Here is a 16747-nt window from a genome sequence, read left to right as displayed (position 1 = left end):
TACTTCGCCCACTTTTTGATGGGGTTGTTTGTTTTTTTTTCTTGTAAATTTGTTTGAGTTCATTGTAGATTCTGGATATTAGCCCTTTGTCAGATGAGTAGGTTGCAAAAATTTTCTCCCATTCTGTAGGTTGCCTATTCACTCTGATGGTGGTTTCTTTTGCTGTGCTGAAGCTCTTTAGTTTAATTAGATCCCATTTGTCAATTTTGGCTTTTGTTGCCATTGCTTTTGGTGTTTTAGACATGAAGTCCTTGCCCATGCCTATGTCCTGAATGGTATTGCCTAGGTTTTCTTCTAGGGTTTTTATGGTTTTAGGTCTAACATGTAAGTCTTTAATCCCTCTTGAATTAATTTTTGTATAAGGTGCAAGGAAGGGATCCAGTTTCAGCTTTCTACATATGGCTAGCCAGTTTTCCCAGCACCGTTTATTAAATAGGGAATCCATGTTCTAAGTTTTAAAAGAGGAATTTAAATTTAAAAATTTAAAGGTGAATATTGTACAATTAAAATTTTTATTCAAAAGCAAGTATTATATTTTCATTTGCATTTAACATTAACAGAATGATTTTTGTAGTAACAATATCCAACTGGATATTGGAAAGCATTTTAGGACTATAGAGAATAGAGCCTTCTGTTAGTTTCTTGAATAGTATTTTTCTTTTCTTTTCTTTTCTTTTTTTTGAGATGGAGTCTCACTCTATCGCCCAGGCTGGAGTGCAGTGGTGCCATCTCGGCTCACTGTAGCGTCCACCTTCTGTGTTCCAGCGATTCTCCTTCCTTAGCCTCCCGGGTAGCTGGGATTACAGGCATGCGCCACCATGCCTGGCTAATTTTTGTATTTTCAGTAGAGACGGGGTTTCATCATGCTGGCCAGGCTGTTCTCAAACTCCTGACCTCAGGCGATCTGCCTGCCTCCGCCTCCTAAAGTGCTAGGATTACAAGCGTGAGCCACCACGCCCAGCTGAATGGTATTTTTTAATATAATAGAATTTATGATGGGTTAATATTAAAGGATAGGAATTATATGTAATTTATAAACTGCTTTTAAAATGCAAGAGTTTTTTATTACTGTTGAGTGTTGGCTAATAGCTATGGTTCTAATCAATCATAGTTTGTTGATTGGAATTGAAAGAAGTTACTTTTGGTGCCACTTATAGATAGGAAGGAAAAGATTCACATTTAGGATGCTGTAAATACTTATTTTTTAGAAAATTTTTCCATAAGTTGGCTGGGCACGGTGGCTCACGCCTGTAATCCCAGCACTTTGGGAGGCCGAGGTGGGCAGATGACGACGTCAGGAGATCAAGACCATCCTGGCTAACATGGTAAAATGCTGTCTCTACTAAAAATCCAAAAAATTAGCCCGGCGTGGTGGCGGGTGCCTGTAGTCCCAGCTACTCGGGAGGCTGAGGCAGGAGAGTGGCATGAACCCGGAAGGCAGAGCTTGCAGTGAGCCGAGATAGCGCCACTGCATTCCTGCCTGGGCAACACAGCGAGACTCTGTCTCAAAAAAAAATTTTTTTTTCCATAAGTTATTGGGGTACAGGTGGTATTTGGTTACACAAGTAAGTTCTTTAGTGGTGATTTGTGAGATGTTGGTGCACCCATCACCTGAGCAGTATACACTCCACCATATTTGAAGCCTTTAACCCTTGCCTGCTTCCCACTCTCCCCCCAAGTCCCAAAAGTCCATTGTATGATTTGTATGCCTTTGAGTCCTCATAGCTTAGCTCCTAATTTAAGTGAGAACATACAATGTTTGGTTTTCAATTCCTGAGTTACTTCACTTAGAATAATAGTCTCCAATCTCATCCAGGTTGTTGTGAGTGCCATTAATTCATTCCTTTTTTATGGCTGAGTAGTATTCCATCATATAAATATACCACAGTTTCCTTATCCACTTGTTGATTGATGGGCATTTGGGTTGGTTCCATGATTTTGCAGTTGCAAATTGTACTGCTATAAACATGTGTGTGAAGTATCTTTTTTATATAATGACTTCTTTTCCTCGAGTAGATACTGCGTAGTGGGATTGCTGGATCAAATGGTAGTTCTACTTTTAGTTCTTTAAGGAATCTCCACACTGTTTTTCTATAGTGGTTGTACTAGTTTACATTCCCACCAGCAGTGTAGAAGTATTCCCTGTTCACCGCATCCATGCCAACATGTACTGTTTTTTGATTTTTTTGATTGTGGCCATTCTTGCAGGAGTAAGGTGGTATCACATTGTGGTTTTGATTTGCATTTCCCTGATCATTAGTGATGTTGAGCATTTTTTTATATGTTCGTTGCTCATTTGTATATCTTCTTTTGAGAATTGTCTATTCAGTTCCTTAGCCCACTTTTTGATGGAATTGTTTTTTTCTTACTGATTTGTTAGAGTTTGTTGTAGATTCTGGATATTAGTCCTTTGTCAGATGTATAGATTATGAAGATTTTCTCCCACTCTGCGGGGTTGTCTCTTTACTCTGCTGACTGTTCCTTTTGCCGTGCAAAAGCTCTTTAGTTTAATAAAGTCCCAACTATTTAATCTCTGTTTTTATTGCATTTGCTTTTGGGTTCTTGATCATTAAATGCTTGCCTAAGCCAATGTGTAGAAGGGTTTTTCCAATGTTATCTTCTAGGATTTTTATAGTTTCAGGTCTTAGATTTTAGTCCTTAATCCTTCTTGAGTTGATTTTTGTATAAGGTAAGCGATGAGGATCCAGTTTCATTCTGCTACATGTGGCTAGCCAGTTATCCCAGCAACATTAGTTGAAAAGGGTGTCCTTTCTCAACTTTATAGTTTTGCTTGCTTTGTCAAAGATCAGTTGGCTGTAAGTATTTGGGTATATTTCTGGGTTCTCTATTCTGTTACATTGGCCTATGTGCCTGTTTTTATACCAGTACCTTGCTGTTTTGGTGACTCTGGCCTTATAGTATAATTTGAAATCAGGTAATGTGATGCCTCCAGATTTGTTCTTTTAGCTTAGTCTTGTTTTGGCTATGGGCTCTTTTTTGGTTCCATATGAATTTTAGAATTTTTTTTTCTAATTCTGTGAAGAATGATGGTGGTATTTTGATGGTTTTGATGGGGATTGCATTGAATTTGTAGATTGCTTTTGGCAGTATGGTCATTTTCACAGTATTGATTCTACCCATCCATGAGCATGGGATGTGTTTCCATTTGTTTGTGTCATGTATGATTTCTTTCAGCAGTGTTTTGTAGTTTTCCTTGTAGAGGCCTTTCACCTCCTTGGTTAGATATATTCCTAAGTATTTTATTTTTTTTGCAGCTATTGTAAAAGGGGTTGAGTTCTTGATTTGATTCTCCGCTTAGTTGCTATTGGTGTATAGAAGAGCTACTGATTTGTGAACATTAATCTTGTATTCAGAAACTTTGCTGAATTCTTGTATCAGTTCTAAGAGATTTCTGGAGGAGTCTTTAGGGTTTTCAAGGTAAATGATCCTATCGTCAGCAAACAGTGACAGTTTGACTTCCTCTTTATCGATTTGGATGCCCTTTATTTCTTGGGCATCCTTGTCTGATTGCTCTGGCTACAACTTCTATGTTGAAGAGGCGTGGTGAGAGTGGGCATCGTTATCTTGTTTCAGTTCTCAGAGGGAATGCTTTCAACTTTTCCCCATTCAATATTATGTTGGCTGTGGGTTTGTCATAGATGGCTTTTGTTACATTGAGGTATGTCCCTTGTATACCAATTTTGCTGAGAGTTTTAATCATAAAGGGATGCTGGATTTTGTCAAATGCTTTTTCTGCATCTATTGCGATGATCATGTGATTTTTGTTTTTAATTTTGTTTATGTGATGTATCACATTTATTGACTTGTGTATGTTAAACCATCCCTGCATCCCTGGTATGAAACCCACTTGGTCATGGTGGATTATCCTTGATATATTGTTGGATTCAGTTAGCTAGTATTTTGTTAAGGATTTTAGCATCTGTGTTCATCAAGGATATCAGTCTGTAGTTTTCTTTTTTTGTTATGTCCTTTCATGGTTTTGGTATTAGGGCAATACTGGCTTCATAGAATGAGTTCGGGAGGGTTGCTTCTTTCTCTGTCTTGTGGAATAGTTTCAAAAGGATTGGTACCAATTCTTCTTTGAATGTCTGGTAGAATTCTGTGAATTCTGTGAAAAGTCTGGTCCTGGACTTTTTTTTTTTTTTTTTTTTTTTTTTTTTTGAGATGGAGTCTCGCTCTGTTGCCAGTCTGGAGTGCAGTGGCGCGATCTTGGCTCACTGCAACCTCCGCCTCCCAGGGATTCAAGCGATTCCCCTGCCTCAGCCTCCCAAGTAGCTGGGACTACAGGCATGCGCCACCATGCCTGGCTAATTTTTTGTATTTTAGTAGAAACAAGGCTTCACCATGTTGGCCAGGTTGGTCTCAATCTCCTGAACTCATGATCCACCCGCCTCAGCCTCCCAAAGTGCTGGGATTACAGGCGTGAGCCACTGCACCAGGCCTGGGCTTTTTTTTTTTTTTTTTTTTTTTTTTATACTTTATGTTTTAGGGTACATGTGCACATTGTGCAGGTTAGTTACATATGTATACATGTGCCATGCTGGTGCACTGCACCCACTAACTCGTCATCTAGCATTAGGTATATCTCCCAATGCTATCCCTCCCCACTCCCCCCACCCCCCACAGTCCCCAGAGTGTGATATTCTCCTTCCTGTGTCCATGTGATCTCATTGTTCAATTCCCACCTATGAGTGAGAATCTGCGGTGTTTGGTTTTTTGTTCTTGCGATAGTTTACTGAGAATGATGATTTCCAATTTCATCCATGTCCCTACAAAGAACATGAACTCATCATTTTTTATGGCTGCATAGTATTCCATGGTGTATATGGGCCACATTTTCTTAATCCGGTCTATCATTGTTGGACATTTGGGTTGGTTCCAAGTCTTTGCTATTGTGAATAATGCTGCAATAAACATACGTGTGCATGTGTCTTTATAGCAGCATGATTTGTAGTCCTTTGGATATATACCCAGTAATGGGATGGCTGGGTCAAATGGTATTTCTAATTCTAGATCCCTGAGGAATCGCCACACTGACTTCCACAATGGTTGAACTAGTTTACAGTCCCACCAACGTGTAAAAGTGTTCCTATTTCTCCACATCCTCTCCAGCACCTGTTGTTTCCTGACTTTTTAATGATTGCCATTCTAACTGTTGTGAGATGGTATCTCATTGTGGTTTTGATTTGCATTTCTCTGATGGCCAGTGATGGTGAGCATTTTTTCATGTGTTTTTTGGCTGCATAAATGTCTTCTTTTGAGAAGTGTCTGTTCATGTCCTTCGCCCACTTTTTGATGGGGTTGTTTGTTTTTTTCTTGTAAATTTGTTTGAGTTCATTGTAGATTCTGGATATTAGCCCTTTGTCAGATGAGTAGGTTGCAAAAATTTTCTCCCATTTTGTAGGTTGCCTGTTCACTCTGATGGTAGTTTCTTTTGCTGTGCTGAAGCTCTTTAGTTTAATTAGATCCCATTTGTCAATTTTGTCTTTTGTTGCCATTGCTTTTGGTGTTTTGGACATGAAATCCTTGCCCATGCCTATGTCCTGAATGGTAATGCCTAGGTTTTCTTCTAGGGTTTTTATGGTTTTAGGTCTAACGTTTAAGTCTTTAATCCATCTTGAATTGATTTTTGTATAAGGTGTAAGGAAGGGATCCAGTTTCAGCTTTCTACATATGGCTAGCCAGTTTTCCCAGCACCATTTATTAAATAGGGAATCCTTTCCCCATTTCTTGTTTTTCTCAGGTTTGTCAAAGATCAGATAGTTGTAGATATGCGGCGTTATTTCTGAGGGCTCTGTTCTGTTCCATTGATCTATATCTCTGTTTTGGTACCAGTACCATGCTGTTTTGGTTACTGTAGCCTTGTAGTATAGTTTGAAGTCAGGTAGTGTGATGCCTCCAGCTTTGTTCTTTTGGCTTAGGATTGCCTTGGTGATGTGGGCCCTTTTTGGTTCCATATGAACTTTAAAGTAGTTTTTTCCAATTCTGTGAAGAAAGTCATTGGTAGCTTTATGGGGATGGCATTGAATCTGTAAATTACCTTGGGCAGTATGGCCATTTTCATGATATTGATTCTTCCTACCCATGAGCATGGAATGTTCTTCCATTTGTTTGTATCCTCTTTTATTTCCTTGAGCAGTGGTTTGTAGTTCTCCTTGAAGAGGTCCTTCACATCCCTTGTAAGTTGGATTCCTAGGTATTTTATTCTCTTTGAAGCAGTTGTGAATGGGAGTTCACTCATGATTTGGCTCTCTGTTTGTCTGTTGTTGGTGTATAAGAATGCTTGTGATTTTTGTACATTGATTTTGTATCCTGAGACTTTGCTGAAGTTGCTTATCAGCTTAAGGAGATTTTGGGCTGAGACAATGGGGTTTTCTAGATATACAATCATGTCATCTGCAAACAGGGACAATTTGACTTCCTCTTTTCCTAATTGAATACCCTTTATTTCCTTCTCCTGCCCAATTGCCCTGGCCAGAACTTCCAACACTATGTTGAATAGGAGTGGTGAGAGAGGGCATCCCTGTCTTGTGCCAGTTTTCAAAGAGAATGCTTCCAGTTTTTGCCCATTCAGTATGATATTGGCTGTGGGTTTGTCATAGATAGCTCTTATTATTTTGAAATACGTCCCATCAATACCTAATTTATTGAGAGTTTTTAGCATGAAGGGTTGTTGAATTTTGTCAAAGGCTTTTTCTGCATCTATTGAGATAATCATGTGGTTTTTGTCTTTGGCTCTGTTTATATGCTGGATTACATTTATTGATTTGCGTATATTGAACCAGCCTTGCATCCCAGGGATGAAGCCCACTTGATCATGGTGGATAAGCTTTTTGATGTGCTGCTGGATTCGTTTTGCCAGTATTTTATTGAGAATTTTTGCATCAATGTTCATCAAGGATATTGGTCTAAAATTCTCTTTTTTGGTTGTGTCTCTGCCCGGCTTTGGTATCAGGATGATGCTGGCCTCATAAAATGAGTTAGGGAGGATTCCCTCTTTTTCTATTGATTGGAATAGTTTCAGAAGGAATGGTACCAGTTCCTCCTTGTACCTCTGGTAGAATTCGGCTGTGAATCCATCTGGTCCTGGACTCTTTTTGGTTGGTAAACTATTGATTATTGCCACAATTTCAGCTCCTGTTATTGGTCTATTCAGAGATGCAACTTCTTCCTGGTTTAGTCTTGGGAGAGTGTATGTGTCGAGGAATTTATCCATTTCTTCTAGATTTTCTAGTTTATTTGCGTAGAGGTGTTTGTAGTATTCTCTGATGGTAGTTTGTATTTCTGTGGGATTGGTGGTGATATCCCCTTTATCATTTTTTATTGTGTCTATTTGATTCTTCTCTCTTTTTTTCTTTATTAGTCTTGCTAGCGGTCTATCAATTTTGTTGATCCTTTCAAAAAACCAGCTCCTGGATTCATTAATTTTTTCAAGGGTTTTTTGTGTCTCTATTTCCTTCAGTTCTGCTCTGATTTTAGTTATTTCTTGCCTTCTGCTAGCTTTTGAATGTGTTTGCTCTTGCTTTTCTAGTTCTTTTAATTGTGATGTTAGGGTGTCAATTTTGGATCTTTCCTGCTTTCTCTTGTGGGCATTTAGTGCTATAAATTTCCCTCTACACACTGCTTTGAATGCGTCCCAGAGATTCTGGTATGTTGTGTCTTTGTTCTCGTTGGTTTCAAAGAACATCTTTATTTCTGCCTTCATTTCGTTATGTATCCAGTAGTCATTCAGGAGCAGGTTGTTCAGTTTCTATGTAGTTGAGTGGTTTTGAGTGAGTTTCTTAATCCTGAGTTCTAGTTTGATTGCACTGTGGTCTGAGAGATAGTTTGTTATAATCTCTGTTCTTTTACATTTGCTGAGGAGTGCTTTACTTCCAAGTATGTGGTCAATTTTGGAATAGGTGTGGTGTGGTGCTGAAAAAAATGTATATTCTGTTGATTTGGGGTGGAGAGTTCTGTAGATGTCTATTAGGTCCACTTGGTGCAGAGCTGAGTTCAATTCCTGGGTATCCTTGTTGACTTTCTGTCTCGTTGATCTGTCTAATGTTGACAGTGGGGTGTTAAAGTCTCCCATTATTAATGTATGGGAGTCTAAGTCTCTTTTTAGGTTACTCAGGACTTGCTTTATGAATCTGGGTGCTCCTGTATTGGGTGCATATATATTTAGGATAGTTAGCTCTTCTTGTTGAATTGATCCCTTTACCATTATGTAATGGCCTTGTCTCTTTTGATCTTTGTTGGTTTAAAGTCTGTTTTATCAGAGACTAGGATTGCAACCCCTGCCTTTTTTTGTTTTCCATTTGCTTGGTAGATCTTCCTCCATCCTTTTATTTTGAGCCTGTGTGTGTCTCTGCACATGAGATGGGTTTCCTGAATACAGCACACTGATGGGTCGTGACTCTTTATCCAATTTGCCAGTCTGTGTCTTTTAATTGGAGCATTTAGTCCATTTACATTTAAAGTTAATATTGTTATGTGTGAATTTGATCCTGTCATTATGATGTTAGCTGGTGATTTTGCTTGTTAGTTGATGCAGTTTCTTCCTAGTCTCGATGGTCTTTACATTTTGGCATGATTTTGCAGTGGCTGGTACCGGTTGTTCCTTTCCATGTTTAGCGCTTCCTTCAGGAGCTCTTTTAGGGCAGGCCTGGTGGTGACAAAATCTCTCAGCATTTGCTTGTCTGTAAAGTATTTTATTTCTTCTTCACTTATGAAGCTTAGTTTGGCTGGATATGAAATTCTGGGTTGAAAATTCTTTTCTTTAAGAATGTTGAATATTGGCCCCCACTCTCTTCTGGCTTGTAGGGTTTCTGCCGAGAGATCCGCTGTTAGTCTGATGGGCTTCCCTTTGAGGGTAACCCGACCTTTCTCTCTGGCTGCCCTTAACATTTTTTCCTTCATTTCAACTTTGGTGAATCTGACAATTATGTGTCTTGGAGTTGCTCTTCTCGAGGAGTATCTTTGTGGCGTTCTCTGTATTTCCTGAATCTGAACGTTGGCCTGCCTTGCTAGATTGGGGAAGTTCTGCTGGATAATATCCTGCAGAGTGTTTTCCAACTTGGTTCCATTCTCCCCATCACTTTCAGGTACACCAATCAGATGTAGATTTGGTCTTTTCACATAGTCCCATATTTCTTGGAGGCTTTGCTCATTTCTTTTTATTCTTTTTTCTCTAAACTTCCCTTCTCGCTTCATTTCATTCATTTAATCTTCCATTGCTGATACCCTTTCTTCCAGTTGATCGCATTGGCTCCTGAGGCTTCTGCATTCTTCATATAGTTCTCGGGCCTTGGTTTTCAGCTCCATCACCTCCTTTAAGCACTTCTCTGTATTGGTTATTCTAGTTATACATTCTTCTAAATTTTTTTCAAAGCTTTCAACTTCTTTGCCTTTGGTTTGAATGTCCTCCCGTAGCTCAGAGTAATTTGATCGTCTGAAGCCTTCTTCTCTCAGCTCGTCAAAGTCATTCTCCATCCAGCTTTGTTCCGTTGCTGGTGAGGAACTGCATTCCTTTGGAGGAGGAGAGGCGCTCTGCGTTTTAGAGTTTCCAGTTTTTCTGTTCTGTTTTTTCCCCATCTTTGTGGTTTTATCTACTTTTGGTCTTTGATGATGGTGATGTACAGATGGGTTTTTGGTGTGGATGTCCTTTCTGTTTGTTAGTTTTCCTTCTAACAGACAGGACCCTCAGCTGCAGGTCTGTTGGAATACCCTGCTGTGTGAGGTGTCAGTGTGCCCCTGCTGGGGGGTGCCTCCCAGTTAGGCTGCTCGGGGGTCAGGGGTCAGGGACCCACTTGAGGAGGCAGTCTGCCCGTTCTCAGATCTCCAGCTGCGTGCTGGGAGAACCACTGCTCTCTTCAAAGCTGTCAGACAGGGACATTTAAGTCTGCAGAGGTTACTGCTGTCTTTTGGTTCGTCTGTGCTCTGCCCCCAGAGGTGGAGCCTACAGAGGCAGGCAGGCCTCCTTGAGCTGTGGTGGGCTCCACCCAGTTGGAGCTTCCCTGCTGCTTTGTTTACCTAAGCAAGCCTGGGCAATGGCGGGCGCCCCTCCCCCAGCCTCGCTGCCGCCTTGCAGTTTGATCTCAGACTGCTGTGCTAGCAATCAGCGAGATTCCGTGGGCGTAGGACCCTCCGAGCCAGGTGCGGGATGTAATCTCGTGGTGGGCTGTTTTTTTTTTTTGTTTTTTTTTTTTTTTTTTTTTGAGACGGAGTCTCGCTCTGTCGCCCAGGCCAGACTGCGGACTGCAGTGGCGCAATCTCGGCTCACTGCAAGCTCCGCTTCCCGGGTTCACGCCATTCTCCTGCCTCAGCCTCCCGAGTAGCTGGGACTACAGGCGCCCGCCACCGCGCCCGGCTAATTTTTTGTATTTTTAGTAGAGACGGGGTTTCACCTTGTTAGCCAGGATGGTCTCGATCTCCTGACCTCATGATCCACCCGCCTCGGCCTCCCAAAGTGCTGGGATTACAGGCGTGAGCCACCGCGCCTGGCCTGGGCTGTTTTTTAAGCCGGTCGGAAAAGCTCAATATTCGGGTGGGAGTGACCCGATTTTCCAGGTGCGTCCATCACCCCTTTCTTTGACTCGGAAAGGGAACTCCCTGACCCTTGCGCTTCCCAAGTGAGGCAATGCCTCGCCCTGGTTCGGCTTGCGCACGGTGCGTGCACCCACTGACCTGCGCCCACTGTCTGGCACTCCCTAGTGAGATGAACCCAGTACCTCAGATGGAAATGCAGAAATCACCGGTCTTCTGCGTCGCTCACACTGGGAGCTGTAGACGGGAGCTGTTCCTATTCGGCCATCTTGGCTCCTCCTTCTCAATCATTCTGGACTTTTTTTTGTTGGTAATTTTTAAATTACCATTTCAATCTCGCTGCTTGTTATTGGTCTGTTCAGGGGATCTAATTCTTCCTGATTTAAGCTAGGAGAGTTGTATTTTTCCAGCAGTTTATTCATTTCTTCCAGGTTTTCTAGTTTATGTGTGTAAAGATGTTCATTGTAGGTTTGAATGATCATTTGTATTTCAGTGGTGTCAGTTGTAATATCTTCTGTTTCGTTTCTTAATGAAGTTATTTGGATTTTCTCTCTTCTTGGTTGATCTTGCTAATGGTCTATCAATTTTATTTATCTTTTTGAAGAACCAGCTTTTTGTTTTATTTACCTTTGGTATTTTTTTGTTTGTTTGTTTGTTTCAATTTCATTTAGTTTTGCTCTGATCTTAGTTATTTCCTTTCTTCTGCTAGGTTTAGGTTTGGGTTTGGTTTGTTCTTGTTTTTCTAGTTCCTTGAGGTGTATCCTTATAATGTCAGTTTGTGCTCTTTCAGTCTTTTTGATGTAGGCACTTGAACTTTTTGAGCTTTTGAACTTTTGAGCTTTTGATGGAGGGCTATGAACTTTCCTCTTAGCACTGCCTTTGCTGTATTCCAGAGGTTCTGATAGGTTGTGTCATTATTGTTCAGTTCGAAGAATTCTTTGATTTCCATCTTGATTTCATGTTGACCCAATGCTTACTCAGGAGCAGGTTATTTAATTTCCATGTATTTGCACGGTTTTGAAGGTTCCTTTTGGAGTTGATTTCCAGTTTTATTTAACTGTGGTCTCAGAGAGTTCTTGATATAATTTCAATTTTCTTAAATTTATTGAGGCTCGTTTTATGGCCTATCATATGGCCTGTCTTGGAGAAAGTTCCATACACTGTTGAATAGAATGTGTATTCAGTGGTTGTTGGATAAGATGTTCTATATATTTGTTAAGTCCATTTGTTCGAAGGTATAGTTTAAATCCATTATTTCTTTGTTGACTTTCTGTCTTGATGACCTGTCTAGTGCTGTCAGTGGAGTATTGAAGTCCCCCACTATTATTGTGTTGCCATCTATCTCATTTCTTAGGTCTAGTAATACTTGTTTTATAAATTTGGGAGCTCAAGTTTTGGGTGGATATATGTTTAGGATTGTGATATTTTCCTGTTGGACAAGGGCTTTTACCATTATCTAATGTACCCCTTTGTCTCTTTTAACTGCTGTTGCTTTAAAGTTTGTTTTGTCTGATATAAGAATAGCTACCCCTCCTTGCTTTTGGTGTCCATTTGCATGAGGTATTTCATAAAGGCACCCCTGTACTTTATGAGAGTATGTGTTAGGTGAGTCTCCTGAAGGCAGCAGATGGTTGGTGAGTTGTTATCCATTTTGCAGTTCTGTATCTTTTAAGTGGAGCATTTAAGCTATTTACACTCAGTGTTAGTATTGAGATGTGAGGTACTGTTGCATTCATCATGCTATTTGTTGCCTGTGTACTTTGGTTTTTTTGTTTTTTGTTTTTGCCTTTTAACTTATATTTTTGTTTTATAGGTCCTTTGTGATTTATGCTTTTTAAAGAGGTTCTGTTTTGATGTGTTTCCAGGATTTGTTTCAGGATATAGGGCTCCTTTTAGTAGTCCTTGTGGTGGTGGCTTGGTAGTGGCAAATTCTCTCAGCATTTGTTTGTCTGAAAAAGACTGTATCTTTCCTTTATATATGATGCTTAGTTTCGCTGGATACCAAGTTCTTGGCTGGTAATTGTCTTGTTTGAGGAGACTGAAGATAGGACCCAATCCCTTCTAGCTTGTAGGGTTTCTGCTGAGAAATCTGCTGTTAATCTGATAAGTTTTCCTTGATAGGTTATCTGGTGCGTCTGTCTCACAACTCTTAAGATTCTTTCCTTTGTCTTAACTTTAGGTAACCTGATGACAGTGTGCCTAAGTGATGATCCTTTTGCAATGAATTTCCCAGGTGTTCTTTGTGCTTCTTGTATTTGGATGTCTAGGTCTCTTGCAAGGCCGGGGAAATTTTCCTTAGTTATTCCCCCAAATACATTTTCCAAACTTTCAGATTTCTCTTCTTCCTTAGGAACATCGATTATTCTTAGGTTTGGTCGTTTAACATAATCCCAGACTTCTTGGAGTCTTTGTTCATATTTTCTTATTCCTTTTTCTGTCTTTATTGGATTGGGTTAATTTGAAGGCCTTGTCTTTGAGCTCTGAATTTCTTTCTTCTACTTGTTCAATTCTATTGCTGAGACTTTCCAGAGCATTTTGCATTTCTGTGAGTGTGTCCAGTGCTTCCTGAATTTTTGATTGTTTTTTTTCTTTAAGCAATCTATTTCCTTGAATATTTCTCCCTTCACTTCTTGTATCATTTTTTGGATTTCCTTGCATTGGGCTTTGCCTTTCTCTGGTGCCTCTCTGATTAGCTTAATACCTAACCTCCTGAATTCTTTTACAGGTAAATCAAGGATTTCTTCTTGGCTTAGATCCATTGCTGGTGAACTAGTGTAATTTTTTTGGGGGGGGAGGTGTTAAAGAGCCTTGTTTTGTCATATTACCAGAGTTGGTTTTCTGGTTCCTTCTCATTTGGGTAGGCTCTGTCAGAGGGAAGGTCTAGGCGGAAGTCTGTTGTTCTGATTCTTTTGTCTCATGGGGTGTTGCTTGGATGTAGTACTCTCCCCCTTTTCCTATGGACGTGGCTTCCTATGAGCCAAACTGCAGTGATTGTTGTCTCTCTTCTGGGTCTAGCCACCCAGCAAGTCTACCCAGCTCCAAGCTGGTACCAGGGATTGTCTGCAGAGTCCTGTGATGTGAACTCCTGATCTCAGGTGATCCACCTGCCTCAGCCATCCAAAGTGCTGGGATTACAGGCATGAGCCACTGCACCTGGCCTCAGTTCTTTAACTTTATGCTCTTTCACTTAATATAATATTTTTGAGGTTCACTGTGTTGTAGCATGCATCAGTACTTCATTCCTTTTTATGACTGAATACTCTTCCATGGTACGGCTAGACCAAATTTTGTTTACTTGTTCATTAATTGATGGGCACTTGGTTTTTTCATTAGTTGATGGGCACTTGTTTTTCTTTCCCATTTTCATCTATTATGAATAATGTGGCTCTGAACATTCATATATAAAGCTTTGTGTGTACATATATTTTTCCATTTTCTTGCAAAGATTTCTATAAATAGAATAACTGGGTCATATGATGAGTTTATGTTTAACTTTTAAAGAAATTGCCAAACTATTTTCCAAAATAACCATACCATTTCTATTATGTATGAGAATTTCAGTTTTCTATGTCTTTATCAACACACTTATACATTGTTGGTGTGAGTGTAAATTAGTTCAACCATTGTGGTTGAACTTACCTATGTAACATGTACCATTAGCTATGAACAAACCTTCACATGTACCCCTGAACCTAAAATTAAAAGTTTTTTAAAAATCACGCATGGGTGTTAGATTTTGTCAATTGACTTTTGTTCATCTATGAAGATAATTATGTGGTTTTTATTCTTTATATTATTAATGTGTGTTAGATTTTTGTCAATGGATTTTTATTCATCTGTGAAGATGATTATGTGGTTTTTGTCCTTTATATTATTAATGTAATATATAATGTGATTTTCTGGTGTTAAACCACTTTTACGTTCCTGTGATTAATGCCACTTAATTATGTATATAATTCTTTTTACATATTACTGGATTCAGTTTGCTGATATTTGTTAAGAATTTTTGTTTTTGGTAGAAGGGAGATTGTACTGTAATTTTCTTGTGAAATATTTGTCATGCTTTTTTATCTGAATAGTACTAGCTTCATAGAATTAGTTGGTTAGTAAATGTTCTTTTCTCATTTATTTTCTGAAAGAGTTGTGAAGAATTGGTATTATTATTATTTTAAATATCTGATAGAATTAACTGGTGAGACCATCTGGATCTGTGGTTTTTTTTTTTTGAGGTGTGATTTTTAATAACTAACTCATTAGAAATTATTTAGATTTTCTGTTTCTTTTTGAGTCATCTTTAGTAGTTTGGTATTTCTAGGAATTTTTCCATTTCATCTAAGTTATCTAATTTGTTGTCATACAATTGTTCATAATAGTTCCTCATAATTATTTTCATTTCTTTAGTGTCAGTAGTGATGTGTTCCCTTTTTCATCCCTGGTTTTGGTAATTTGTGTCTTTCCTCTTTTTTTCTTGGTTAGTTTAGATGAAGGTTTGTGAATTTTGTTGATCTTTTCAAAGAACCAACTTTGGGTGTCACTGATTTTTTTTATTATTATTTTTCTGTGTTCTAGTCAATTAACCTGTGCTCTAATATTTATTATTTCCTTTCTTCTGCTTGCTGCAGGCTTACTCTTCCTAATTTCTTCATGTGGAAGCCTAGGTTATTGATTTGAGACCCTTTTTTGTTTTTGATACAGGTTTCTAAAATAAATTTTTCTCCAAGCATTGCTTTAGTTGAGCCCTATACATTTTGATTTGTTGTGTTTTCATTTTCATTCAACTTCAAATATTTTCTCATTTCCCATTTGATTTCTTCTTGATCCCTGAGTTACTTGGAAGTGTGGTGTTTAATTTTGAAATATTTAAGGATTTCCCTGGTTTCTTTTCTGTTGTTGATTTATAATTTAATTCAGTTCTGGTTGAACAACATACTTTGTATGATTTCTGTCATTTTAAATGTATTGAGATTTGTTTTGTGACTTGGTATTTAATTCGTTCTTGGAAATGATTAGCACTGAGAAAGAATTTGTATTTTTACAGTTACTGGGTTGAATGTTTTCTATAATCAGTTAGCTTGAGTTGGTTGATCATGTTGTTCAAGTCTTCTGTATCCTTGATGATTTTCTGCTTAGTTGTTCTATCAGTTATTGGGTGGGACTAGACATCTCCAACTATTATTTTTATTTTTATTTATTTTATTTCAATAGGCTTTTGGGGAACAGGTGGTGTTTGGTTACATGGATAAGTTCTTCAGAGGTGATTTCTGAGATTTTGGTGTACCCATCACCCAAGTAGTGTACACTATACCCAATGTGTAGTCTTTTATCCCTTACTCCCCTCCCTCTCTTCCCCCCAAGTCCCCAAAATCCATTGTATCATTCTCATGCCTTTGCGTCCTCATAGCTTAGCTCCCACCTTTAAGTGAGAACATGTGATGTTTGGGTTTCCTTTCCTGAGTTACTTCACTTAGAATAATGGTCTCCAACTGCACCCTGGTTGCTGCAAATGCTATTATTTCATTCCTTTTAATGGCTGAGTAGTATTCCATGGTGTATATATGTGTGTGTGCGCGCGTTTGTGTATATATATATATATAGAGAGAGAGAGGGCGCATTTTCTTTATTTACTTATTGATTGATGGGCATTTGGGCTGGTTCCATATTTCTGCAATTGTGAATTGTGCTGCTATAAACATGAGTGTGCAAGTGCCTTTTTCATATAATGACTTCTTTTCCTCTGGGTAGATACCCAGTAGTGGGTTTGCTGGATAATGGTAGATCTACTTTTTAGTTCTTTAAGTAATCTCCACACTGTTTTCCATAGTGGTTGTCCTAGTTCACATTCCCACCATCAGTGTAGAAGTGTTCCCTTTTCACCATATCCACACCAACATCTATCTTTTTATTTTTTAATTATGGCCATTCTTGCAGGAGTAAGGTGGTACCACATTGTGGTTTTAATTTTGCATTTCCCTGATCATTAGTGATGTTGAGCATTTTTTTCATATGTTTGTTGGCCATTTGTATATCTTCTTTTGAGAATTGTCTATTCATGTCCTTAACCCACTTTTTGATGGGATTATTTGTTTTTTTCTTGCTGATTTGTTTGAGGTCCTTGTAGTTTCTGGATATCAGTCCTTTATCAGATGCACCATTTGCAAAGCTTTTCTCCCACTCTGTGGGTTGTCTGTTTACTATGCTG

General features: G+C 39.0%; 1 protein-coding gene across 2 annotated transcripts in view, besides 1 other annotated feature; it reads left to right on the top strand.

Annotated features, from left to right (window-relative positions):
• Positions 1 to 16747, top strand: part of COPG2 (coat protein complex I subunit gamma 2) — a 162511-nt gene that overhangs the window by 80761 nt on the left and 65003 nt on the right. The window lies entirely within an intron of this gene.
• Positions 9811 to 10397: an enhancer, noted in NCBI's record as "NANOG-H3K4me1 hESC enhancer chr7:130261863-130262448 (GRCh37/hg19 assembly coordinates)". NCBI's record gives its function as "activates a minimal SCP1, AML or CMV promoter by ChIP-STARR-seq in naive H9 embryonic stem cells {active_cell/tissue: H9 hESC(naive)}" and the evidence as "EXISTENCE:reporter gene assay evidence [ECO:0000049][PMID:30033119]".

This window comes from Homo sapiens, chromosome 7 (assembly GCF_000001405.40).
Source record: "Homo sapiens chromosome 7, GRCh38.p14 Primary Assembly".
Taxonomy (NCBI): domain Eukaryota; kingdom Metazoa; phylum Chordata; class Mammalia; order Primates; family Hominidae; genus Homo; species Homo sapiens.
Note: the sequence above shows the minus strand (reverse complement) of the source record. Positions and strands in the feature narration are given on the sequence as shown.